The sequence below is a fragment of the Homo sapiens genome, chromosome 7 (assembly GCF_000001405.40).
Source record: "Homo sapiens chromosome 7, GRCh38.p14 Primary Assembly".
Classification (NCBI taxonomy): domain Eukaryota; kingdom Metazoa; phylum Chordata; class Mammalia; order Primates; family Hominidae; genus Homo; species Homo sapiens.
Genome location: NC_000007.14, coordinates 22,322,492 through 22,349,300, shown reverse-complemented (window position 1 = coordinate 22,349,300; position 26,809 = coordinate 22,322,492). Strand labels below are relative to the sequence as shown.

Sequence of the window (26,809 nt, the reverse complement as noted above, 5' to 3'; positions counted from 1 at the left end):
AGGCATCCACTACCATGCCTGGCTAATTTTTGTATTTTTAGTAGAGACAGGGTTTCACCACGTTGGCCAGGCTGGTCTTGAACTCCTGACCTCAAGTGATCCGCCTGCCTCAGCCTCCCAAAGTGCTGGGATTACAGGTGTGAGCCACTGTTCTTGGCCCCTACTGATCTGTGGAACACTGGGTCTTATTGCTTTTTTTTTTTTTTTTCTTTTAGGCAGAGTCTTGCTCTTTCACCCAGCCTGGAGTACGGTGGCACCATTTTGGCTCATGCAACGTCCACCTCTGGGTTCAAGCGATTCTTGTGCCTCAGCCTCCCTCCCAAGTACCTGGGATTACAGGCATGTGCCACCACACCTGGCTAATTTTTGTATTTTTAGTAGAGATGGGGTTTTGCCACGTTGGCCAGGCTGGTCTCAAACTCCTGGCCTCAAGTGATCCGCATGCCTTGCCCTCCAAAAGTTTTGGGATTACAGGCGTGAGCCACCGTACCCAATCCATCACTTATATCTAAGTGTATATTTGTACCTGTTAATCAAACTCTCTTCATCCCCTCCTCTCCACTACCCTTCCTGGCCTCTGGTAACCACCAATGTACCCTCTGTCTTCATGAGAAGGGATCAGTCTTTACTCAGAAGCTTTGGCCATGGCTTGAGCAGAGTAGCTGTCAGCCATCTCCCAGCAATACCAGCCATTGGACAAGAAACATGAAGGTTTGGGATGACTCATCCTAGAAGTCATTGTTTTCTCAGCTCCATAGTACACATCTACTTGGAGATTTATAAGGCATGCAAGCTCCTTTTCTGGCCTGTATGAAAAACTGGAAGAGGTAGAATGAGTTCCTTGTAACCCAGGATTTATGTTTCTGATGGTAACATGCTTGATATTTAAGCAACTTGAGATTAGGAAGTTGGAAGTACACATACCTGTCAAAGTAACTGAACCTATTTACAATAGAATAAAATCATTGAGAATACACAGTATCTTTTAATGAAATTAAATTTTGGTATGTTTACCTTTTAATGCACTATGATTACCTGCATGGAATTACTCTTAATTGTTTTTGTTGTGGGTGGGGGGATTCCAGGCCTTTTTGAGAATCAAAAGATAGCACAGCAAAAGAAATGCACATTCAGACATAATTTTGCATCTCATTTCAGAGGGCTTGTGGATGTTCTGAAGCCTGTGCCACAAGACCCCTGGTTAGAAAGTGCTTCTCTAACTTGCCTTCCAGAAAGCAGCATCATGGTTTTACAATTATTTTACCTTTTCTCTCCTTTTCCTCTAAAAACTTGATATAAGTACTCATTCAGTTGCTAGTAAATTTTTTTTGAATCAAAATATTTTACTGGTGTTGAATTGGAAATCATTCACCTCCAAATATAGCAAATGCTTCGGTAAGCCCTGGTAGGTGGTGGTGCTGAAAATGATGATAACTATTAATATTTAACAAATCCTAATATAACATTTATCATATCAGGTTGTTTGAAGTACTTTAAGAACAGTAACTCATTTAGACCTGGTAACAACAATCTTATGTCGCAGATGGTCTCATGGTCTTCTTTTCCCGAAGAGAAAAATGAGGCATAGGTTGAGTTGCCTAAGATCACCCAATAAGAGAAGGAGTCAAATTTGAACCCAAGAAGGCTGACTCCATATTATACAGTCTAACACTTCTTCTGCATCCTCTCTCTAAATAAGATAATTAATGTATGTCCTTGATTAGAGTCTCTTTTTTTTCATTTTGACACTTTCAAAATTGAGATGTATCTTACGGTTGCTGTGATCATTTGAAGAAGTACTTACTGTTTTGCTCCCTATAAAGCTATTATTAAATTGATGGTATATCTTAAAATTATTGGTGTCCTTGAATAAAGGAACTATGGTAAGCCATGTGTTTTATTTAAAAAATATAGCTACATAGTTTATAGAAATATCATAGTAAATCACAGCTTTAACATGGGGTATACAAACAATCCCAATTTATTTATGAAGTGGGAAAAATGTAAATTAAGATTATATTAACAATCTATATGAACACTGATATTGCTTAGGTAATGATCTAAATGTGAGAAGAGAATAAATTTAAATTTTTTCCTACAAAAAGCATTAATAGCCTTAGAGTAATGTTGAAGGTGGAAGAAACCAAAATTGTAAGTGGGGGCAGGGGGTTAAAATATATATATGTGTGTGTGTCTGTGTGTGTATATACATAATTATCAGTTTTCTTACAGCTTTTTTTAGGAGAGCAAAATTTAAAAGTTAAACTTTCCATATAAATTTCCTAAAACTGAGAACCATGAATATAACTAAATGACATTAGATATAGACATGCCTTTGAGTCACTGTAATTTGTATAGTGAGTTGGCAGATCTTACCTTCTGTGACTCAGTTAATCTGTTTTGTATTCATCTGCTTTGTTCATGGGACATTGACTTCTTGCTTATAAAATCCTTTTCATTTTGTACTGTTTGTATTATCTGTAGAGAAAATATCATTCAGGACTTCTACCAAGGCAAAACAAATCTTTACTAAAGTTACAATTCTGAAAACCAGGGTTTTTGCATCCTAGTTGGTTGTCTTCCTGTATTTTTTTCCAACTGGTCTAGCAACTTAAACTCAGTCCATTGGTGGTTTTGTTGTTCAGTTGAATTTGACCTTGTCAAATCATTTACCTGCAGCTGTTATGAGGTGTACATGCAAATACTTGTGATTGCCTAACACTTAGGACTTTGGTGCTGACGGCAAATTTATTTTATCTCTCATTACTGTTGAGGGAAGTGAACAGCTTATCACTTCTGCTTGCTCTGACACTCTAAATGTTGACTGTAATGAACAAACACTGCAAATGGTTGACTCATTATATTGTGCTGTGAATTTGTACATAGGAATGAAATCTGCAAAAAAATTTTTTTTACGTTGAGAAGAGGATATAATAATAACTTTTGGAGATTAGGGGAAGTATGATGCCTGTTTCAATCTATTAAAATGCAGTTTGGCTGTGGGTGTAAGAGAACATTTTTTAAAATGAGCTTACCACTTAAGGGCTGCATGACCTGGAGTAAATCAAATAACCTCTGTGAGTCTCTGTCTCTAAAATGGAATACCAGTATTCTATCATGGGAACCAATGGTGGGATAGGGAATCAGGTTTTATTTCTTGTTCCTTGTCTGGCCAAGGTCCAAGCAGTGTTCTGTGTTGAGATGACACCTCAACCAGTAGGACACTTTGGGGTGAATCTTAGACAAATGGAAAGATGGGTGTTTAATATTAACCACATCTCTTCAGTTGGAGAGGGAGAAGTTAATGCATTAGCAGAGGGAGCATTTGAAAATGGGAAAGGGATCTAATTAAATCAAGAATCTGTCATATCAAAAGAGTAAAAAGAACACATCTATAAATCTGTTTCTAGAAGATTAAATGGTTTGTTTGGCCATAAACAGAATTCTAGGAGAGGTGTCAGAAGAGTACTTAGTGGCAGCAACCCTATGTGTCTGTCAGAGATCTTACCAGGTGGTTTTCTCTTCTTTTGGGTACTGTTTAAGCATTCAAATTTCCCACTGCTCTTGGCACATAACTCTCTAAAAAAAAAAAAAAAAAAAAAAAGCTGCCTAGACATGTTCTAATCTACCTTGAGTATCTCAAATGAAGCTAGATCTTAAAAAAGCCCAACTGCAGTTGTGTGTTCACTCTGTCGTGGTTTATATAATGCTTTACCTTCACAAAGCGCTTTCATATACATTCTTATTTTACTATTTTCATAACTGGAATAAAGTCTTTTTTTTAATAGACTCAAAAGTTACTGAGCTTTTCTATATGCTGCGGCCTCACCGTCTGTGAATCACAGGCAGTGCCCACCTAGTTATGTAGAGGATGCTCAGTAAGCCTGAGCTGCTGCTGTTGTCATTGCTGTCATCATCATCAGTGCCTGAAATTGCAGATCTGAGGGATTCCAGAGTTAGTCTCTCTGAAGAGCTGAAAGAGATCTTACTGGTTATATTGGTAGAAATTAAGTAAGAAAACTGAGGCTCCACAATTGGTATCCTGCTGAAGGTCATCATGAGGAAGTTAAGAGTCAGGAGCCCCTTAGGCTGGGCTTCTCAGTCCAGGGTCTCTGAGAAGTTAGCCTCAGGCTGCGGTGAAGGGTGGGGCTAAAGCGGAACTTCTCAAACTGAAGCCTGCATCAGAATCCCTGGAGGGCTTGTTAAAACACATATTCCAGGGCCTCAGCCTTAGAGACTTTGGTTCAACAGCTCATGGACAGGGCCCAATCATCTGCCTTTTTATCAAGTTTTAGGGTATGCTGTTGCTGCATCCACAGACCACACTTTGTAACACTGGACTAGAAGGCCTCAAAAGTTTGGTGACTGTCATCATCAGAACATTGCTTAGGTCAGGAGTATGCCTGGCTGTTTACCACCTCCGTGATGAAGGCCAGACCCAAATAGAGGACTCTGACTATAAGAACTTTATTGAATGAATAATTTTGGAAACTCCCCCTTGGTGGTTTCTGCAGAGTAACTGGCAGTTTAAAAAAAGAAAAAAGTGGGGAGGATTTGGAGCATCATCGCCCATGGCAGCTATGCTGGCTATTCTGTTTGTCCATCCTGAGTCCTCTCTGCCCTTCCCTGTTCTGGTCTGCACCGTGGAGGCTGCCTTTGTGGATGTTCATCACCAGGACTCTGTTGCCCTCTGGCTTAGGTTGGGTTCAGTCAGTGGTAGGTCAGGAGGAGCAAGAGGCCAGCAGTATCTATTCTTCCTGCTTGCTCTCTTTTTCTCTGTGGTGCTTGCAGTGTCTGTGACCGCCTATAATGGCAGCTGACCCTGGGCAGTCCCTCCTCAATCGCGTCACCTCTCTCCAGCCTCCAGTACAGCTGTGTCTCCCCTTGGCTGTCAGGCCTCGAACTGTTCAAGGCTTGTCATGACTGGTCCCTTTGTGCTGTAGCATCTCCTTGGGCCTCTGAACCTTGCCCACACATCTTTGATAGGCTGTTTTCTAGAGGACCCTTGATGGATGGAGGAGCCCAGGTAAGAGCCATGCTAGAAAATGTGACAGTGGGAGGTGTAGCCATGGTGAGAAGAAACTCGTGAACAGAATGGGCACTGGCAAGTATGATGGCAAGGCAGAGAGGCCCAATCCCTCTTTGGGTGGAGGATAGAGGGAGAGGCAAGGGAAGGCCTGGCCTTGAAAGTGATGCTGGGCTTCACCGTAGAGGGTCCTGAGGGGTCCCTGGACCTCTGGTTAGAAGCTAGGACTACTTGAATGTGAATCAAGGGCCATTTCTGTGCATAAACATGGGTGGCTAGGGTTTGGAATCGGAGAAGCTGTTATATGAGGAATTGGCATTCCTTCTCTGCAATTGCCTAGCAATGTTTTTTCTGCCCCTGCTTTTTTTTTTCCGCAGACACCCTCAGCATCGTCAGCTTATACGCAGGAATTATAAAACCTTTATGTGGGACTTTGATCTTGCTAAATTTTGTCACCGTGTATTGAACATGTTCTGAAATGCCTGCCAAAACTACATTCATGAAGTAACAAATAGTCGAATAGGATAATTACACCTTTGGTTCCTTTGCCCATAGGTTCCAGCAATGGGCGTGTTGGTGAGATAAAACACATTTTTCATGGTTTGGGGGGTCATCCAGATCATCTTCTACAGTAACCTCACCATGAAGCAGGACTACCACACATACTAATACCAATTCTGCGTGTTTATTAGTTCTTTTATATTGAAATGTCATGCTAGGTTGAAACTATTTCAGAGCTTTTGTAAATAATATTGGGGTGGTAAAGGTTGGGTACCAACATCTGAATACCTTGTCTTAATAAATGAAATATATAAAGACAAAACAAGCCCCCAATCTCAAATTTTCTGTTGTTACAATTCTTTAGGTATAAGAAAAATTCTCTATGAGGAAAAATCAACCCTGGAATTTTTTTCCCTCTCTTTCTGGGTAGTTGGGTTGATACCTACCCAGATCTCATCTTGAATTACCATGTGTTGTAGGAGGAACCCGGTGGGAGGTAACCGAATCATGGGGGCAGATCTTTCCTGTGCTGTTCTTGTGATAGTGAATAAATTTTATGAGATCTGATGGTTTTAAAAAGGGGAGTTTCCCTGCAGAAGCTCTTTTCCCTTGTCTACCACCATGTGAGACGTGCATTTTACCTTCCTCCGTGATTGTGAGGCCTCTCCAGCCATGCGGACTGTAAGTCCATTAAACCTCTTTCTTTTGTAAATTGCCCAGTCCAGGGTATGTCTTTATCAGCAGCATGAAAACGGACTAATACAGTAAATTGATACCAGTAGAGTGGGGGCACTACTGAAAAGATACCTGAAAATGTGGAAGCGACTTTGGAACTGGGTAACAGGCAGAGGTTGGAACGGTTTGCAGGGCTCAGAAGAAGACAGGAAAATTTGGGAAAGTTTGGAACTTCCTAGAGACTTGTTGAATGGTTTTGCCCAAGATACTTGTAGTGATATGGACAATAAAGTCCAGGCTTAGGTGGTCTCAGATGGAGACGAGGAATGTGTTGGGAACTGGAGCAAAGGTGACTCTTGTTATGTTTTAGCAAAGAACTGGTGGCATTTTGCCCCTGTCCTAGAGATTTGTGGAACTTTGAACTTGAGAGAGATGATTTAGGGTATCTGGCAGAAGAAATTTCTAAGCAGCAAAGCATTCAAGAGGTGACTTGGGTGGTGTTAAAGGCATTCAGTTTTATAAGTGAAGCAGAGCATAAAAGTTTGGAAAATTTGCAGCCTGACAATGTGATAGAAAAGAATATCCCATTTTCTGAGGAGAAATTCAAGCCAGCTACGGAAATTTGCATAAGTAATGCGGAGCCTAATGTTAATCCCCAAGACAATGGGAAAAATATCTCCAGGGTTTTTCTGTTGTGAAGCAGAAAAAGGTCCAAGGTGTCAGAGACCTTTACTGCAGCCCCTCCCATCACAGGCCCAGAGGCCTAGGAGGAAAACGTGGTTTGGTGGGCTGGGCCCAGGGTCCATGTGCTGTGTGCAGCCTAGGGAACTTGGTGTCCTGTGTCCCAGCTGCTCCAGCCATGGCTGAAAGGGGCCAACATAGAGCTCAGGCTTTGGCTTCAGAGGGTGGAAGCTCCAAGCTTTGGCAACTTCCACGTTGTGTTGAGTCTGTGAGTGCACAGAAGTCAAGAATTGGGGTTTGAGAACCTCTGCCTAGATTTTAGAAGATGTATGGAAATGGCAGAGGTTTGCTGCAGGAGCAGGGCCCTCATGGAGCACCTCTGCTAGGGCATTGTGGAAGGGGAATGTGGGGTGGGAGCCCCTAAACAGAGTCCCTACTGGGGGACAGCTCTCTACCACCTAGTGGAGCTGTGAGAAGAAGGCCACTGTCCTCCAGACCCCAGAATGGTAGATCTGCTAACAGCTTACACTGTGCCCCTGGAAAAGCCATAGACATTCAACACCAGCCTGTGAAAGCAGCCTGGAGGGGAATATACCCTGCAAAGCCACAGGGGTGGAGCTGCCCAAGGCTGTGGGAGCCCTGTCTTGCATCAGCATGACCTGGATTTGAGACATGGAGTCAAAAGAGATCATTTTGGACCTTTAAGATTTGACAGCCCTGCTGGATTTTGGACTGATACAGGGCCTGTAGCCCCTTTGTTTTGGCCAATTCTCCCATTTGGAATGGCTGTATTTACTCAATGCCTTCACCCCCGTTGTATTTAGGAAGTAACTAACTTGCTTTTGATTTTACAGGCTCATAGGCAGAAGGGACTTGCCTTGTCTCAGATGAGACTTTGGACTGTGGACTTTTGAGTTAATGCTGAAATGAGCTAATGTTTTGGGGGACTGTTGGGAAGGAAAGATTGGTTTTGAAATGTGAGGACATGAGATTTGGGAGGGGCCGGGTGGAATGATATGGTTTGGCTGTGTCCCCACCCAAATCTCGTCTTGAATTCTCACGTGTTGTGGGAGGAACCCGGTGGGAGGTAATTGAATCACAGGGCAGATCTTTCCTGTGCTGTTCTCATGATAGTGAATAAGTCTCATGAGATCTGATGGTTTTAAAAAGGGGAGTTTCCCTGCACAAGCTCTTTTCTCTTGTCTGCTGCCATGTGAGATGTGCCTTTCACCTTCTGCCATGATTCTGAGGCCTCCCCAGCCACATGGAACAAGTCCATTAAACCTATTTCTTTTGTAAATTGCCCAGTCCTGGGTATGTCTTTATCAGCAGTGTGAAAACAGAGTAATACACTGGGTTTTCTTATATTTATATGTCAGAAAACATGGATGTGTGAGGGAGTCAAGGGATGACCTCATGCAGCTGAGGCCATAATGATAAGTCACCTCGTGTTACTCAGTGTGGCACAAGTTCAAGTGTATGAACCCTTTGGTTTTGCTCCATTTTCTCTTCTTTCTGGTCATTTCTCCAGTAAAGCTTGGTTGCTGGGTACCTGGAGAAGACAAGCAAATGGAAGCCCAGAGGACAGGAGCCCAAATCTGCCAGGAAGGAGGTAGAGCATTCCCAGTTGAAGGCTTCCAGGAAGTGGCCATGCCTGTGCATCACCTCTTAGGGGGAACGGACCAGAGGGAAGAGGAGAGGGGGTTCTAGTGCGGAATACCCTGGTAAGAGAATCCAAGCCCTGGTCAGGGAACAAGGAGGAGCTCAGTGTGGAGGAAGGGCTGTGGGGGCTGGGGGACCCAGACATACAGGAATCCCTTTTCCAGGCTCAGACCCTGGGGCAAGGATGGTTCCCGCAAATCCATCTTGTTTTCACCTCCAGTCTAGAGTGAATGTTCTCCCTGTCCCCCTAGCTGGGAAAGGAGTTTTTCCAGTTCAGAGACTCAGGTCCACTTTCTGTGCTTACCATCTCCTTCTCTGGTTTGGTCTTCAGAAGTCTCTGATCGGCCTTCTTCCTGGTTTGTGAAGATTCATCTCCTTACTTCCCCTTGGATGAGCTATCCATCTTCACTTTGGGTTAGGTTTCCTTTGGCTTTGTGGTTCCTGTTGTCTTGTTCTCCTCTCCCGAGCTTTTCTCCTGGAGGCTTCTCTGGTGGGCTGTTTTCCCAGTCTCTCTTCTCTGAATCAGCTCAGGCGCTTGTTTGCTGTCATTGTTTCCCAGCACAGCACTCCTGTTTCTTCATCCTGGCACCAAACCATCAGTTTGCCTGGCCCCAGCTGAGGGCTCCATTTGGAATGGGAGAGGGTGCTTGATGCCCTTTTCAGGAGTTTGGATGATTGAAGCACACCTCTGCATGTTAAAACTGTCAGAGAAGCCCTCACCCCACCCAATCTATTAATTTTTTTTAGAATATTTAAGTTCTCACATTCCCCACTTCCCATAAGAAGAAAAGGGGAACTGTTGCAAAGGCTTGAGTAACCATCCACCTGGTCTGCTTTAGGGGGTGGAGAGTTACAAATGTGTTGATTGCTGATTAGCATAATATTTTCAAAACTACCTGCTTTAAATAGTGACCTCTGCCTTGGTCAAAGGATACATATGAGAAGGTATTGCTCAGGTGAGAAGTGAAATTGTGAAAGTCAAAACCAGTTTCATTTTGTAATGATTGTAATAAATGTAGAAGCTTCTATTTAAACAATTATAATAGCTTTGGGAATATAAGGCTAAACACAAGACAAAGGAAAGTGGATTAATGATTTTAGTTGTTGTGTGTACTGCAGGCAGCACCTGTCCCTCACATCCCAGACTGCCGTTTGATGCAGTCACCCTCTTTTGCATTTCCTGGTATCTTTTCTTCCTTCTAAAATCTGTGTCATGCACTTACTCTAATGTGTCCATCAGGATGGTTATTGCAGCTTTTGCTGCAATAACAAAACCCCAACAAAAACTTCGTAGTTTAACACAACACTTTCTTTCTTTCTTACTAAAACATTTTGCATCCGGACGCTCTTCAGGGGAGCTGTCTTCTATGTGGCAATGTTACTGGCTGTGAAGCTGTACAGGTCTTCAGCAACCTCACTTCTTGCCTCCTCAGAAGAAAGAATTCAACTGAGAGGCATAAGGCAGAGTGAGAGACCGAAGCAAGTTTTAGAGCAGGAGTGAAGGTTTATTGATAACAGTTGCATCCTTTCTCCGCTGATTCTTCCTCTGGGGTGGAGTGTCTGCAGTTGCTTGCTAGCAGTTGGGAGGGGCTGCATGCACAGTGTATTTACTGAAGTTGTATGCATGCTCACTTGAGGCGTTCTTCTCTTACCAGTCGAGTGTTCCCATAAGGTCATACACCAGTTAAACTCCATCGTTTTGCCTCTTAGTGCGCATGCTTGAGCCCACTCACCCACCTCCTGAGATCTTATCTGGAAGCTGCTGATCACCAGCTTCAGGTTTTTTCTATGAATTGGGAGGCCGCCTTTCCCTGGTGCTGGCTCTGATCAATTATTATTTTAGAGACAGTTAACAAACGCCTGATCCTCACCTGATGGTCTTCTGACATTCCTGGTGGTGGGGGCGCCTCTTCTGCCCTGCTCATGTCTGACTAGCTACCAACTGTAACAGCAGCTCTGTGTGTATGTTTCCCTGTCACCGTCTTCCTCCACAATGAATGCAGCATGTGAAGAAATAATGGAGAATTGCACATGGGCTTTTAAATACTCTGGCCAAGGTGACTTTTGCTTGTATTTCATTGGTCAAAGCATGTTACATGGTCTCAGTCATTTAAGGGACCAACAAAGTGTCATCCTCCCAGGAGTCTTGAAGGATAAAAGAAGCACAAATGTTAGGAATGTCTACCTCAGCCATTAGACGTTGAGAATACACAAATGACTAAAGGAATTATCCCAGTCCTTAGCTACTCAAAGTCCAGTGGGGAAGGTAAACATGTTGATTGTATTATGGTTTAGTTTTATAAAATTTTACAAATTTCAAAATACATAGTGTAACTATAGTGTTAGAACATAAAATAACAGAAAATACTTTGGGGAGTGCAAAGATATAGAATCTACCTCTCTGAGTTTGGAACGAGAGCAAAACTTCAGTGTGGAGGTGATTTAAGAGCTGGGAGTTGTCTACCCACCAGAGTTAGAGCTACATTACCTTGGTAAGGTTGGTGTCTGACTTATTTTATGTGCTGCGTAACAGGTAAACTAATAATTTGGGTTGTAACTCTAAGAAATAGGCTTACCTGGTTTTGAGACCTCAAGGAAGAAATTAAAGCAATCTGTCAGCAGTAGAATAGATCCACTAGTTCAAATGAAATGCAGCAGGTAAGTATCCTTCTAATGAAGACTTGCTAAAAATACTTTTACTGAGCAATTATGCTACTGACAGTTCTTTGATCTCAAAAGATTAAACTTGCTGCTGCAGTATGAAAAGAACAAAGCCAAGTGTAAAATAACAATCAGGGTTAGTTATTAGGCAACAAAGGTTGCATATAGGTACTTTGATTTGCTCAGAGATTTCTGACATATTTTACATTAGATATAAATGTGAGTGGTGTGTTAACATTGCAAACAATGTGCTTTATAAACAAAAGAGTCTCTTCCTCAGATCTAAGAGCCATGGTATTGTCCTCTTACACTGCTGTATTCCCCACTGGCTTTGCCCATCACGCTGGACATGGTCCCACTGAAAGCACCTTTGTAAAAATTGTAACAGAAAATTATGACAGTGAAAGAGATCTGACCTAACCAACTCTATCTTGCCTTGAACCTCCAGACTGCCCTGGGTCATTCCGGGCCGTGGGCCAAGCTAACTTTGGGAGAAATTTAGTTGATAGTTTAAATGATAATAGCTCTTCCCCAAACTAAACTGCCTTTATAAAACTAATAAAAGGCCACAAGTTTAGGATTATGAGGGGGTCCTGAATTCTGCTAAGATGTAGGTATAGTTAACCAATTATCAGCCGTTTTGGAGGTCACAAGATTTGCAACTTCCTCAATTACTCCTGTAAATAACATTACTGTTGTAGAACCTAAGAGTGGCCTTTTAAGATGTCTTTTAAAACTTTTGCATTTCTAATGACCTGATGGCCCCACTTGGACCCACAACGCTTGACAACTGGTCCTGTTATCCCCAGCCAGAAGCAGAGTCAGCACTAGAGGACCATTTTCCACACCTCTATGATTGCGATTACATCCCCAACCAAACCAGCAGCACCCATACCGTAGCCCCTGCCCACCAAACTGTCTTTGAAAAAGTCTAGCCTTTAAATTTTCAGGGAGGCTGGTTTGAGTAATAACAAAATTCTAGTCTCCCATTTAGCCAGCTTGACGCGTATTATACTCTTTCTGTATTGCCATTCCCCTGTCTTGACAATTCGGCTCTATCTGGGCAGCAGGCAAGATGAACATGTTGGGCAGTGACACCACCTCAGGGCCTGTGCACTTGTTTTCTCAGTCTGAAGCCCTTTCTCAAGATATCCATTCACCTCTCTGCTCAAAGGCTATTCTCTGTGAGCCTGTTGTAGGACTCTTTCCTTAGCTCAGCTAAAGATGGGGGTCCTTGTCACACAGCCACGAAAAATTAGGCTCACAGGCAATTTGAAAGGTGAGGAGGGCAGGGTTTATTGGGTGAAAAGGGAAACAGGGATCCTCTGCAAAGCCAGAGTTCTGCTTGTGCACTTCCCGCCTGGCAGATTGAATCCCAGGTTCCACCCAGGAAGAGGAGGGGCCAGGCTCCTCCCCACTGCAAATGGCACGAACTTCTGTGGCTCCATCCCAGTGCACACTCCTCTCAGTGCACAGGCTGGTTGGAGTTTCTCTGGGGACCGCTTCCCAGCTGGCTGTCTGAAGACCCCTTGGCCACTGTACTTAAAATTGTAACATCAACCTCCTCTCCATGCCTTATTCCTCTACCACTGTCTAACATACATAATTGATAATTAACTTCTTTATTTTGCTTAAGTTCAGTCTTCTCCCAGTAGGGTATAGCCTGTTTCTGTACCACCAGAATAAAGGACCCTTCTTCATAATTAAGTAAATTTAATTTTATGAAATTAAATTTCATTGCCCTTATTCGTATTGTGCCTCACATGAGCATTTTGGAACCACTTCATGTAGTAGATACATGGTTTGGGGCAGAATAAAGGTGAGACTATATGTGGACATGATGTAACAGATGTAAGGTGGCAGTCACCATCAGTTGACAAAAGCATTTCTTTAGAAAGATTGGTCTCTTTCTGAAGAGTGTGCAGAGTGGGGAAAGGAGAGGTTAAGGCAGGGAAGTCACTTAGGGATTGTTGCCCGGGTGATAGGGCTTGAGGGCCTGATCTAAGATGGAGGCATTGGGAATAAGAAGTCTGGGCGTTGGGAAGGAAGGGATGCTTAGGATTCAGTAATTTGCTTTCTGTTTGAACAAAAAACTAAAAATCAACAAGAACACCAAATAGGTTTCTGGTGTTGAGAGGACTAGAAGTCTGTCAGAAATATGACCAAAGGTTGTCTTTTCTATACAGAAAGTCTCTTAGATTCCCAATATTCTTATTTAAGAAATTATAAGTGTGGTCGTTTGCATGTTTGTATGAAAAGTAGTTTCTGTTGTGCAAGTTACCTTATGTGACAGAGAAGGAAAGGAGTTGCTTTTTAAATGACTAAATGGTGATATTTGCCTTTAGGACAGCTTTGGAAGTTTCGTTGTTGTTGTTGTTGTTGTTTTGTTGTTTTTTTTTTTTTGCTTGTTTCTTGTTTTGGTTCAGGGAAGGAGAACTAGATGGCAGTCTGACCATTCTGTGTGTCCCCCCACCCTAGAGTTGATACGGCTTTGTGGCCTCCAGGAAAATGGAAGTAGATGCCCCACCCACCCCACCTTGTCCCCAGGCTGCACCTGCCCAGTGCCAGGTCTCCACCTTCATTGCCCAGTCAGCATGGTGCCAGTTGTCCTCAAGCCTAGCCTTGAGGTAGGTGTGGGAAGATGAGGTAGAAGATAGCTCTTGTGGGAAGAGAGGGAACTGACTGGATAAAAAGGAGAGAGTTTACTCCCTTTATCTACCTCTGCCTTTCCCAGTTCTTAGATTTCTATGTGTGTGAAGTCCAGGGAACTGTGGCTTAAAGATACTGATAGCTGTTTGTCAGAGTAGAGTCTGGTAGAAAACTGTGAACTTGTGTAGCTGATCACATGAAATCCACTTGCCTCGTTGAAACTAAAAATGAACACCACTATTTCTTGCTTTCATAAATTTGCAAGTGCTCTTGATTGTAAGGTAAGGATTTGGCTCGTTTATAAACATGCATGCCCCTGCCTATCCCCACCCATTGCCTCTTCTCAGTGTTCCTCAGGTAGTTGACTTGCTATTGGGGCAGGATACAGTGGAGGCTTTTGTGTTCACATAACACTCTTCTTTGTAACTGGATTCGGGACTGAATCTGTCAGGGGTCTTAATTGCAAACAAGAGACCAACTCTGAAATTACTGGAAGGATGTTGAGATGCAGGTTGGCTTGCAGAATTATTGGACGGCTGGAGAGGTAGGCTTCAAATGGAGCAGGAACCAAGAGCATTCTTCAGAGAAGGATAGGAAGAATGTAGAGATTACAAATGTAAAAGCTGGATCCAGCTATCCAGGGTTTCCCTGACCCTCACCCACTGAATGACTGTGGGCAAGTGACTTAACCTCTCTGTGTTTCCAAAGATAGTTATGAATAATAAATGCATTAATATTAATAACAAGTGCTTAGAACAGTGAGTGGAAAATAATAAGCAGTAGATCAGTGGTTGGTAAATACATACTGCTAAGTGATCTTATATGTATACATATGTATGTTGGCAGTGCTGCTAAATAAATGCCAGGCTGCTGTCCAGGATGCAGGTGTTCCTTCTATGCCACAATCTCTTCTTTGCTTGCCTTAGCTTTTCCCTTATCAGAAATTGCCAATCTTTGTTCAAGGACTTTGTTTCAGTTCTTCATGGTTCTCTCGGAAACATTGATTCTGGAACATGATTAACGACAGAGGATACATAAAGACCTCAATGTCTACATTTTGGGCTTTAGTTTTACACTGCTGCCCTTAGGAATAGTGTATTCATTTTTTTTCTGCCACTTTGTGTGTGTGTGTTATTAATACTATGTTTTCATGATCATTTTTAACACTTCTCTTTCTCTTTCCTCCTATTGTTTTGTTGAATGAGAAAAAGCCAAGATGGAAACTCTTGTGGTAGACAAACCCATCTGTCAGGTCCACGACTAACCCAAATGTCATGCTCAGGGTCAGGCTCGGGCCCATGCTGAGGTCCGTGGGGTGTGGGTGGATTGGCGATACTGGAAAGAACACTCGGGGCGCTGTAGGCAGGTGAAATGTAGTTTTATTCAGCAGCTCTCTCATTAGCAGCTCTCTTAACACTGTCCGCTCTGTCTTGGCTGCTTGAGCCAGCCGCTCCCATGCACAACGGCGCAGCCGACTCTCCTTTGCCTTCAGGGTCAGTAGTTTAACCGTTTCTTGGGGCACAAGCACGAGCCATGTCAAGCCATGCCGTGCCCTGGCTCCCCTCTGTCCATCTGCAAGACAGACAGCTCTGGTTCTCTCTCTGTTTCTCTGGGTGCCAGCACAAGAGCACCTATACAGTGCCAGCACGGCAGTTATACCTTTTCCAAACAATAGTGGCTCCAAGCCAAATATGAGCTTACACAAACAGGTTATATAACAAGTGGAGGTGTGTGCCTGCGCGCAAATCCCACCAAGTCATGCAGGCCTGGATGTGTGCCTCAGCCTATTCCTTGACCAAAGCACATTCATATACCTTACACCATCCTACCCCTATGAAGGTTTTTAGAGGTCCCCCTCTTTTTAAAAATTGCAGCATTAATATTTAGAAATAAAAAAGAATGGGAGATTCCTGTAATAAATACTCTTTTCATTCTTTAAATTTGGCTCAAAGAAAACTACAGCTGTCCATTCTTTTGTTGAAATAATCTTTCCCTTCAGGTAAGATTGTTAAGACTGTTGGTTATTCTGGCAAACCTAGATCAGAGTCTGTTTGTAGGGAAGCTTTACTTAAAAAAACATTAATGACTAAGTATATCCCATGCACTGAATATGCTGTTTTGGGCCCAAGGTTGGTTAGTGTTGCCCTCTCTCTTTCACCTCCTCCCCCTGACCCCCCACTGTATCTGGGTATATAGTCATGCAGTTCAACCTGATTTTAAATATGTAAATACTTAAATATTTATCTACTGAAGATCTGAAGACTCAAAGGAACTTTTAAAAAGTTTTTTTCGTGACAGTTTAACATGAGAATTATAGAATCACTATAGTGAAATGTTAGCATTTAATATGAATATATATCTGTATCACATAATGAGCTCAGAGTTGATCTCACTTGGTAGGCAGAGTAAGAGATGATTAAAAGCATTTTATTTCAGCTATGTACCTACACACATATGTTTGTGTGACCTGGGTAACCATATAAAATATACTCCTTACAGTGGGTTGCAGTAAAAAAAAGTTTGAAAGCCAGTGATTTACGAAAACAGCCACAGGTTCTTCCAATTGTGTGTCTGTGTACCCTGTAGTGGGTTGCTCCCTCAGGCGTAGAAGGGTGTAAGAAAGCCAGAGAGAAGGTGGCTAAAGATTTAATGTGCCACCTGTTGGTTAATAGGACTGTGATTGTGAGAAGTGTTTGCTGTCCAGCTTGAGATACATAGGACTTAGGTGAGGACTATGTGAAAGAAATTGCCTCCCATGAGTCATGGAATTAATTTATAACTGGAAAGCTTTCGAAAACAAGTTTCCTGTGTGTGTCAAATCTCGTCCATAATAAGAAATGGGAACCAGTTGTTGAAAACCTCTTGTTAGCATGGAATCTTTACTACAGAAATGTGGGTGAGAGTGGAGGGAGAAAGTGCTTTTCACAGAAAGAAGAACATCCTGTTCTCTGTAGGTGGAACACTCCTCATTTTACCTTTGTATTTAGGGCTTTATTTATATGATGACTTTTTTACTGCATTTAAGTACATATGTAAAAATAAAACATTGGGAAACAATTGTGCTAATTAACTCCTGGAGCTTCATTTGCTCATGATTACCTTTCTAAGGTTGCCATTGAAAACCTTACTGAAATGAAGAAGGTTTGACAGGGCATTAAATCTCCCCAGGGCGTGGAGGCACAGCAATTTACAGGCAAAGTTCGAGTGCCCTGGTAGAGAACCTTCAACCGGGAGGCTTTAGTTTTGTTTTTAGTTAACTTTGGAGATTATCATTTGCAAGTAAATTTGTAATTTCAGAATCTGTCAAATATAGTTAAAATTTTTTTTTGCTTTTAATTGTCATAAAATACACATAAGATAAAATTTTTCATCATAACCATTTTTCAGTGTACAGTTAAGTATTGTTAAGTACATTCATGTTGTGCAACCAATCTCCAGAATCATGTGGTTTTCAAGCTGGAAGGATATAATGTTTTTACCCTAGAATTTTAACAATACTTTGATGTTCTAAGTTTTTCCATTACTTTCAACAAGTTTCCTCTAAGTCATGATTCTTGGATTATGCAATAGAAATAGAAGGAAATCACTGGTAACCTGCTTACTGCTGTCCCTGTTCTGAATGTACTCCTTCTTTCTTGAATGTTCTTGGTCAACTTGGTACCTCCTGTAACTTTTTCTTTTTTCTTTTTTTTTTTTTTTTTGAGATGGAGTCTCGCTCTATCACCCAGGCTGGAGTGCAATGGTGCGATCTCCACTCACTGCAAGCTCCGCCTCCCGGGTTCACGCTATTCTCCTGCCTCAGCATCCCGAGTAGCTGGGACTACGGGCGCCCACCACCACGCCTGGCTGATTTTTTGTATTTTTAGTAGAGGCAGGGTTTCAGCATGTTAGCCAGGATGGTCTCGATCTCCTGACCTCGTGATCCGCCCGCCTCGGCCTCCCAAAGTGCTGGGATTACAGGCGTGAGCCACCGTGCTTGGCCCACCTCCTGTAACTTTTTAAAGGGGTGTTGACCTTTTATTTCAAGGACACACGTAATATCAGACTTAAGAGGGTATAGAAAGATCGAGCTTCTGTGGGCCTTCCACCTTGGAGAGGGGCATATCTTAGAAAAAAGAAATAAGATTCAATCATTCCATTTTATGTTCCATCTACAACTTTTAAAATAGTTTCAGTCCAGCTTAGGAACTGCTTTAAAAACAACTATGTTGGTGATTTAATCTTACCCTCAGTGAAAGATCTGTGTGGAAAAGTAGTTAATTGAATCTGTATTTCAGGGTTCTTTAAAACCCCGTTTCCTCCCACGGGTTGCTATCTGTGTCGCAGTTTGCATGCTGAAGCCTGAGTACTGACGTTCTCTGGTGTCGAACTGGAGAGTTGGCACTCGGGACTCAGGAGGGAATGTGGTGGACAGTGGAGGGCTGTGGGGCAGGGATCAAAGCTGAAATCCTTGCCTGTGGAGCTCTAATGAAGCTAGCGTCCTATATGTGAGGATCATGATTTTAATTTAAAAATTGATATGCGGTTTACATACCCCAGAGTGAGTAGCTAATGCAATACCTGTATTCTGGGTCAGAGAGGGAGTTTGGATTTTACTAAAAACGACATTGACCATGTGCCTTCAGGTCAGGTATTAAATGTAGCTGTTGTCTTATAATCCATTGCATATATCACACTCCTGTTTCTGAAGCTGATATAGAACCTGGTTGCGTATAGACATGATGGAATCTAAATACGGGGGACTCCTGAGTTACTGATATTTGACTTTGCAGTATTTACTTTCTGAATTGTTTTCTTCAGATGTTGTTAGATTTGATTATTCAGAGGTTAATGGCAAGAGAAAGTGATCCTAAGCACTTTAGCAAATGGGCCACAAGACACTCCGAACAATGATGTTCTTAGAACAGGAACTTGGGCAGAGCCTAGTTTGTATCCTTTACCTACAAAGGGCCATTTAGAAATGGAAGGGCTGCCTCATCTCTTCTTGCTTTGCTGTTTGAAATTTCCCTACCATAGGTTATCACTGTCTTCTGTCTGCCTTTACACTTGCACAGGGCTCCTTCCCTTACATCCATGGTCTCCTCTGTGCTTACATCTCTTCAGGATGGGCAGAAAGCCAAATGGACTTCACTGGGCAGAAAGGGAGCATTAGTGCCAACATCCTTCCCAGCAGACCCCAGCCTTGTCCTGCTTTCTCAGCTCTTTACCTAGAGGTTTAACTCACTTTCCCCCATCCATAACTGCAGTTACATGAGAGCTAACTTACCTGTGGATTTCTTTCTGTCTGTAGACTTGTTCTTAATCCTTTATGTGTCGAGTCATCGTTTTTATCTGTGAACTTTGTCTTTCCTTTATAGGGTTGGAGGTGACAGGGCTATGAGAGTGGAAATGTTATGTTGCTTCATAGCTTTTTTATATATTGTTTTATAGCTGTCTTGTAGACAGACTGTGGGGAGCCAGGACACAGCTCTGTTTGCTTGTGCCCAGAGGGAAGGAGTTAAGTTGCTGACCCTGAAGAGAGAGCTGGCCATGCAGCTGTGTGTGGGAGCGGCGGGAGCAGTTAGTGGAGACAGAGACAGTCTAAGACAACTGCTGAATAAAAATATCTTGTACCTGCCTGTGGCCCCCTGAGTGTTCTTTTACCTGTCTGCCACTCATCCACCCATTGCCTTCGGACCTCAGCATGGGCTGGATCCTGACCCTGGACCTGACAATATCCAACATCAAAAATGTGGAAGTTTGGGAAGAGGGAAAAACAACAATCTAGCTATGACACAGAACCCATTCTGTTAGCGCTTTGGTGTATTCCATTCTGTTTGTTTATTGGGTATTGTTGATCTTATACTGTCTCTTTACTTTTACTTATTTTTATTTTTCTCTTTTCATCAAAATATTTCCATGTGTTAAGACTCTTTAAAACATCTGAAATGGCTGCATAATGTTTCATCATGTGTCTGGACTAGACTGCGGGAAGGGAGGAGGAACCAGAGTGGGGGGAATCCTTTTAAGTAGTAAACATACCCTAGCAACAGGTGCCTTCCTCTGTAATTCATATATATTTTGTTGACTGATTCCCTAGTTATCTACTTTTGGAGTGGAGGACACTTTATTAACTTTAGATCTTTCATCTAGAAACAGATTATCAATCAGTGTAAACATACTTTTAAAAGGGGCCTCTTTGAAAAAAATTAGGGTTGTGATTTACTCTAGCTTAGCTGAATAAAAGAAGAAATTAAGTTTGCTACCTAATTTCATGCAGATTGAAAGCAGAAAGAGTGCAGTTGTTGGTGTTTAAAATGAAGTTTGATTAAAATTAAAAATTGAGAGCATTCTAAAAATAGAATCCCTTATGAAGCACCTCTTACAGTAATTATGCTTAAACAGGAAAAGTAAACACAAATAACTTTAAGTTGCTCTTGGAGCTTACAGAGCAGAATACACGTAAATTGGAACCTGAATATGACTTTCCCCCTGTATAGTGAAAAAAGTTAGAGAGGAGGCAAAAATACATCCAGTAAGTTTGAGGCAATCAGGTTGCTTCAGTCTGAAGATCAGGTGACTCTTTTGTTGGCCTCTTTGCCCTGTTGTTCATCTTAGCTGCACAGCATCCTGCTTTTGGGGCCAGGGCTTGTGTCTGCTTGACCTCCTCCGCCAAGAAAGTAAGAGGCAACATCACATCTGATAAGTCATTGGTGGGAGGCCAGTAGAGAAGACTGTGGGAGCAGGGTTTTGGAATTGTCAAGTGGTGGTATTACACATTGGGATAGCATTTTAATTTGCTGTTTTCTGTTAACACCAGTAAATGTGCTTTGAGTTGGTAACAGATGTTTAGATAAATAAATGTATGTATGTAGGTATGTATGTAGGTATAGTATACGTTTAGTGTCAATTACAGGATTTCCACTTGTCACTGTCCAGGTAAAATGTTTGTATATACAAAAATTGACTGTACTTAGGGTTCTAAACAGTGGTGATGGCAGGTTGTTACACTGGCAGAAGCCCTTAGAAATTCTGTACCCATTTGGGAAAGGACTCTGGTCCCAAGAAGCTAATAACAGTTGAATAGTTCCAGTTTAGCTCTTCCAGACTCCCAGGTGTGGGAAATGGGACCTAACCCTCACGGCTCAAGCCGGTGAATGAAATAGCCCATGTCCAAAAGATGCTTGATGGGAAATGCCTGGGAATTTTCCAGGAGAAGGATTTTCTTTCTCACACATCCTGTTTTCCCTTCTGACCAGGAGGAACCTTGGGTAAGAGGGTTCTCTCTTGGTATGTAGAGAATTCTATTAGGGTCCCACTGGCCTTGCTTTGTGACAGGCACTCTGCCACGTCCTAGGGATGTGGGTGAAAAGTATATAATCCTGTCCCTTGAAAAGCTTACGGTCTAGTAGGGGAGACCCACATTCATGTACATAGTAATACTAAAATTTCCAAATTTCTTGAGTGCTCAACAATAACAATAGGTAACATTCACCAAGCACTTGTTACATAGCAGGTGCTGTTCTAAGCTCTTTATATAATTTTACATTAGTGGTTGATCCTTTGGGAACTTGTTAGAATTGGAGACTCTGAGGCTTCACCCCAGACCTACTGAACCAAAATCCATGGGTTGGAGCCCAGCAATCTTTTAAATAAGCTCTTTAGGTGTCTCTGATGTCTGATGCATGCTGAAGTTTGGGAATCACAATTTTAAGTCATTTAGTTTTTACAACAACCTTAAAAGTAGATTTTATTTCACTCATTTAAAGAGGTAGAAACAGAGGGACAAAGAAGTTAAATAACTTGTCCAAGGACACAACTTTTAAGTGGTGCTGATGAGCTTTGAATCCAAGCAAGGTGAACCCAGAGCTCCACTCTTACCAGTGATGCAAGGCTGCCTCCCGGGAGGAGAGGATGCAGTGCACAGAGGAAGGAACTGGAAACTCTGGAAGGTGAAGAGCGTTAAGGAAGGTATTAAAAGGGCTAGATTTTTTTCCTTTATAAACATTTAATGATAATTAGCTACACAGAATGCATCATGTTGGACACTGGACATTTATAAGTATGAGCACAATATAGATCCTATCTTTAAGATTCATGTAATGAATCAGGGGAAATTCAAATGTAAATAAGAATCTGGAATCCAAAATGCTTTAGAAACACATAAATTCTAACAGGAGATTTGAGCATATGAATGTATTTTTACAATCTATATGAAAATTTAAACATGAGTAGAAAGGCATTCTAGGCGGAGAGAGTGTTATGTGCAAGATTCAGATATTTGAAACAACACTTTACACTTATGGATTTACTAGTACTTTTGTATATTTGGCCTTTAGCATCAGTTTTCTGGAGTCAAGCATTGTCCAGATTATTTATAGATTGAAAATTCCCAATTTAAAAGGAGTTAGTGAAACTAATTGCTCCTTTTTCATTTGCTTTTTTTAACCACTTTATTAAGGTATGATTGACATACAAAAAGCTGTACATATGTAATGTATACAACTTGAGTTTGGAAATAAACTTTGCCACGAACCTATCCATTACCTGCAAAAGTTTCCTCTCATCCTCTTTAATATTTTTTTTGTGGTAAGAGCACTTAACGTAAGATCTACTCTCTCAGCAGACTTTTTAAGTGTGCAATACAGTGTTGTTAACCATAGGTGCTTTGCTTTATAGTGTATCTTGTATAATTAGAACTTTGTACCCTTTACTAGTACTTCTACTTTTTGTTTTAATCTTAGGCCAAAACAACTTCTAGCTACCATTTCTTGCTTTTATGTAACCTAAGTAGAGATGGAATTGTGCCTTAAATAGTTTGGGAGGAAATAGTCTTAAATTGCAATGGGAGATAATTTTGATTCAAAATTAAGAGTTCTTACTAATAACTGGTTAAGCACTAGAATATATTGCCTGGGAGATTATACAGCTCTTCCTGTTCTTTAAAGTTTGATAATCGAGACCAGGATTGGCCAACCTTTTCTGTAAAGGTCCAGATAGTGAATACTTTTGGCTTTGATGGCCATTATGTAACTCTGCTGTTGTAGCAGTAAAGCAGCCAGAGTTGATATGTAAACACACAGTGTTCCAATAAAACTTTATTTATGAAACAGGTGGCAACCGGGTTTGGTCTGTGGACTCCTAATCTCCATCCCCACTGTCTCACATCGTTTAGAGGAAGGCCTGGTGACCCCCGGAGGTCCATTCTGCTGCTACATTTCTGAAGCTCTTCATATATCCTAGTTGAGTAATTGAAAAATAAAAAGTGGAACAAGTATCCTGAATTCTTCCTTTCATCAGAAGACCCTACACTATCACACCTTTATTGTTCTGCAGCTTTCAAAAATCTATGTACAAATTGAAAAGACACATTTAAGACAGTAGTTTATATCCAGATGCCAAAGAAGGGAAGAAAGGTGGCTACTCCAAGGTTTATTTCTTTCACTCATTTCTGACCTGTGAGTAATGTGGGAATTGAAAAGAGAACATTTTTCCTGTTGACGACCCCACACAATTTCCATGTTTTTCACTACAAAGGAATAATTGGTATTCAAGTGGATCATTAAGTTTTCAAACAAGCTCATAAATCATTCAGTATATAAAATTTAGCCAGGTGCGGTGACTCATATAATCCCAGTACTTTGGAAGCCTGTGGTGCAAGGATTGCTTGATCTCAGGAGTTTGAGACTAGCCTGGGCAACATAGTGAGACGTCGTCTCTACTAAAAATAAAAAATTAGCCAGGCATGGTGGTGTGCACCTGTAGTCCCAGCTACTTGTGGTCTGAGGTGGAAGGATCGCTTGAGTCTGGGAAATAAAGGCTGCAGTGAGCCATGATTGTGCCACTGCACTCCAGCCTGGGAGACAGAGCAAGACCCTGTCTTTAAAAAATTACATATATTTATAATTTATAGAGTCATATCTACTCCCTCTGTGTATACTCAGCTAGCTCTGTATGCACACTCTGCACTCTCTATGCATGACCACTTAAGGCAGGGATGGAAATGAGGGGAAAGGATAGGTGGTGATTGGAGTGGGGCAGTGGTGGCGATGGGTTTCATAGCTTTTGAGGTGGTAATATCATGCTTTACCACTTGGCAGGTTATCAGACAGTGTGATGTTGGAAATAAATCACTATTGGCTAGTCAGCGGTTAGCTCCTTCTCCACACTGATGGTCCTAGATCTATAGAAGGCATGACTCCCTCTGGTGGGTTAGGTTGGTTGAAAAGAGATGGCATATACCTGCAAATGGGGCCAGGAGGCACTATATTTCAGTGGCAAATATGGAAAGTGCTAGAATGTTTGGGGGAAGAGATTAATCATGGGAGGCTCAGGGCTTGGTTGGACTTCATGCAGCGTTTGTGTGGATTGACTGTAGGGCAGAATGTAGAAATACAGGAAAGTGCACAGAGCAGAGATCATGGCAAGGGCTCAGGCATGGAGGGGGAATGCATGTGGTTTGTCTCATAAAAAGGAGACAACCTGCCTGGCTGAAGCAGAGTGTCTGTAGAGAAGTGCAGCAGGAACTTTGTAGACAGGTAAGGAAGGTGTGGATCACTAGGTTAAAGACTTGGAACACTGTGAGCACTCAGGGAGAGTAAACTTACAAATATATGTTTGTTGTGTTAAAAATAAGGTGACATGTAGGGAGGTGTTTTCGGGAGATTAATTCGTGCGAAGATGCCAGAGACCTGAGTGGGCAGGGCAGCCATGAGAGTCATTCTGTTGTGCAGCCCAAGGAAGTTATGGAGGGGCGGTGCAGCTTTCAGAAAAGAAATAAATGTTGTATTTTGAGATAATATTTGAATAATTTTTGAGACCACATTTGTGGGGAGGAAGAAGGTCATTATTCTTTTTTTAAAGAACCTTTTTATTTTGAAGTAATTTTAGACTTAAAAGTTGCAAAACTAGTACAAAGGGAGTTCACTTATAAGCATCACTCAGCTTCTCCAAATGTTAACATTTCTACATAACCACAGCACAATTGTCAAAACCAGCACTTATCCACACGATTAACTAAAATATAGACCTCATTCACATGTGCCATGTGTCCTGCTAAGTTCCTTATTCTAGTCCAGGATCACATAATGCCTTTAATTGTCTGGCTCCTTTGGTCTCCTCTCATCTGGGATAGCTCCTTAGTTTTTATTGGTCCCTGTTAACCTTGACAATTTTAGCAAAGTACAGGCCAGTTACTTTGAAGAATGCCCCTCAATTTGAGTTTGTCTGATATTTTGTCATTATATTCAGGTATGCATTTTGACAAAAACAGCATAAAAGTGCCTTTCTCTGTTCATCATATCAGGAGGCAGATGTCAACATGTCTCATGATAGGCGATAATTTTTATCATTTGTTTAAAGTGGTGTGAGCTAAACTCCACTGTACAGTTGTTATTTTTTCCTGTGTACTTACTAAGTATTTCGGCGGGAGATACTTTGATACTTATGCAAATATCCTATGTCTCATCATAGGTTTGTCCACTGATGTTAGCATCTGTTGATGATTTTTGCCTGCAACATTTATTACTATGGTGTTTGCCTAAGGTGGTTTTCTGTTTTCTTCTTTTTACTGCATTTAGTAATTAAAATAATCCCATGAGGAAGGGCTGTCCTTTCTTCCTGATCCTCATTTATTTATTTATTCAATTGCTTGTATCAGTATGGACTCATGGTTATTCATTTTATGAATTATAATTCAATAATTCATTTATTTGCTGTTCAAATCATCCCAGATTTGGCCAGTGGGAGCTTCTTCACGTTGGTTGCTGTAGGGAGGGTCCATCTTGGAGTCCAGGTATGACTGGATGAGTTCTTGTTAATAAAACTAGGAAATTCAGTGACAAGTGGAGATAAGTAAGCTCGCTAATTAAGCCATTTTTCCTAATTCTTTAGTTACTTAATTCTCAAATTTTAAAGGTTTCTCTGTGATTGCATTAACCAGGGAGGCCCATATTGGTAGGCAAAACTATTCTCTTGTTTGTAAACACAGCCCAAAAGAAATATTCCCAAGAACTAAATAAAATCAAATTGATGAAGCTTTGGGGTTTGTTTCTGTTGTATCTGTTGTGTATATTTTCCCAGAAGCTGTTGGTTCTTGCTGATTTATCTCCCTTGCAGTGAAAGGTTTGTGAAATGTTTATAAGTCCTCCTTGAACCCACTTTCATTTTCTACTTAGCTTTTAAGTAGGGAAACATGTTTCTACTAGAATAGTGCCCTTTAACAATGGGAAGTCAAAATTAAGTATAATGCCATGGATGCCATTAAAAGGGTAGACTCTTTCTGAAGGTATGTGGGTACTACGCTACTGTGCAGACATGAAGATACTTCAGCTTAGGGCTATGTCTAGATATGGAAAACACATACAACATGAGCAGGTGCAGGACAGGATTTGCTGAAACAGTGGCTTTTTGTTCTACACAAGCCACTTGGAGGTTCAGCCACGGATCCCCATGCTATTGGTAAATGACAGTACCTCTTCTTCATTCAGCAAGGCATGTGCAGGAGGCGATGTCTGAGCAGTGCTCCAAGCCCCATAGCTAAAGTGGATGAGGAGAGGTTCAATTTGCCATTCTCAATCACTTATTTTTACAGTTCTCCTGAAACCTGGCTGCACCTTAGAACCACCTGGGAAATTTGAGGAAAGACTGCCCAGGTCTCCTCGTAGAGATTCTAATTCAGTATGTTTGGGGTGGGTCCTTAGTACCTGTTTTATTTGTTTTTCTTCAGCTTCCCAGATGGTTCTATTTACATCGAGGGTTGAGAACTGCTGGGTCTAGCCGATACTATTTGTGACTTCTTACTGCAGTTAGATGCACTTTTTTGTCACATTACTCTTAAATGATCACATTCTATATTAAGAGACATGTATGGGACAATAACTGCAGCTAGGTTGCAAACGGGCAGATTTCTTAACCTTTTTAAGTCTAGTTTTGTCATCTACAAAATAGGATTAATTATAATACCTACCTCATAGT

At 41.6% G+C, this 26,809-nt stretch overlaps 1 protein-coding gene across 1 annotated transcript in view, besides 1 other annotated feature; it reads left to right on the top strand.

Moving 5' to 3' along the window:
• The window catches only part of RAPGEF5 (Rap guanine nucleotide exchange factor 5), a 238,919-nt gene that overhangs the window by 7,854 nt on the left and 204,256 nt on the right, over nucleotides 1–26,809 (top strand). The window lies entirely within an intron of this gene.
• Nucleotides 19,116–19,616: an enhancer, noted in NCBI's record as "H3K4me1 hESC enhancer chr7:22369304-22369804 (GRCh37/hg19 assembly coordinates)". NCBI's record gives its function as "activates a minimal SCP1, AML or CMV promoter by ChIP-STARR-seq in naive H9 embryonic stem cells {active_cell/tissue: H9 hESC(naive)}" and the evidence as "EXISTENCE:reporter gene assay evidence [ECO:0000049][PMID:30033119]".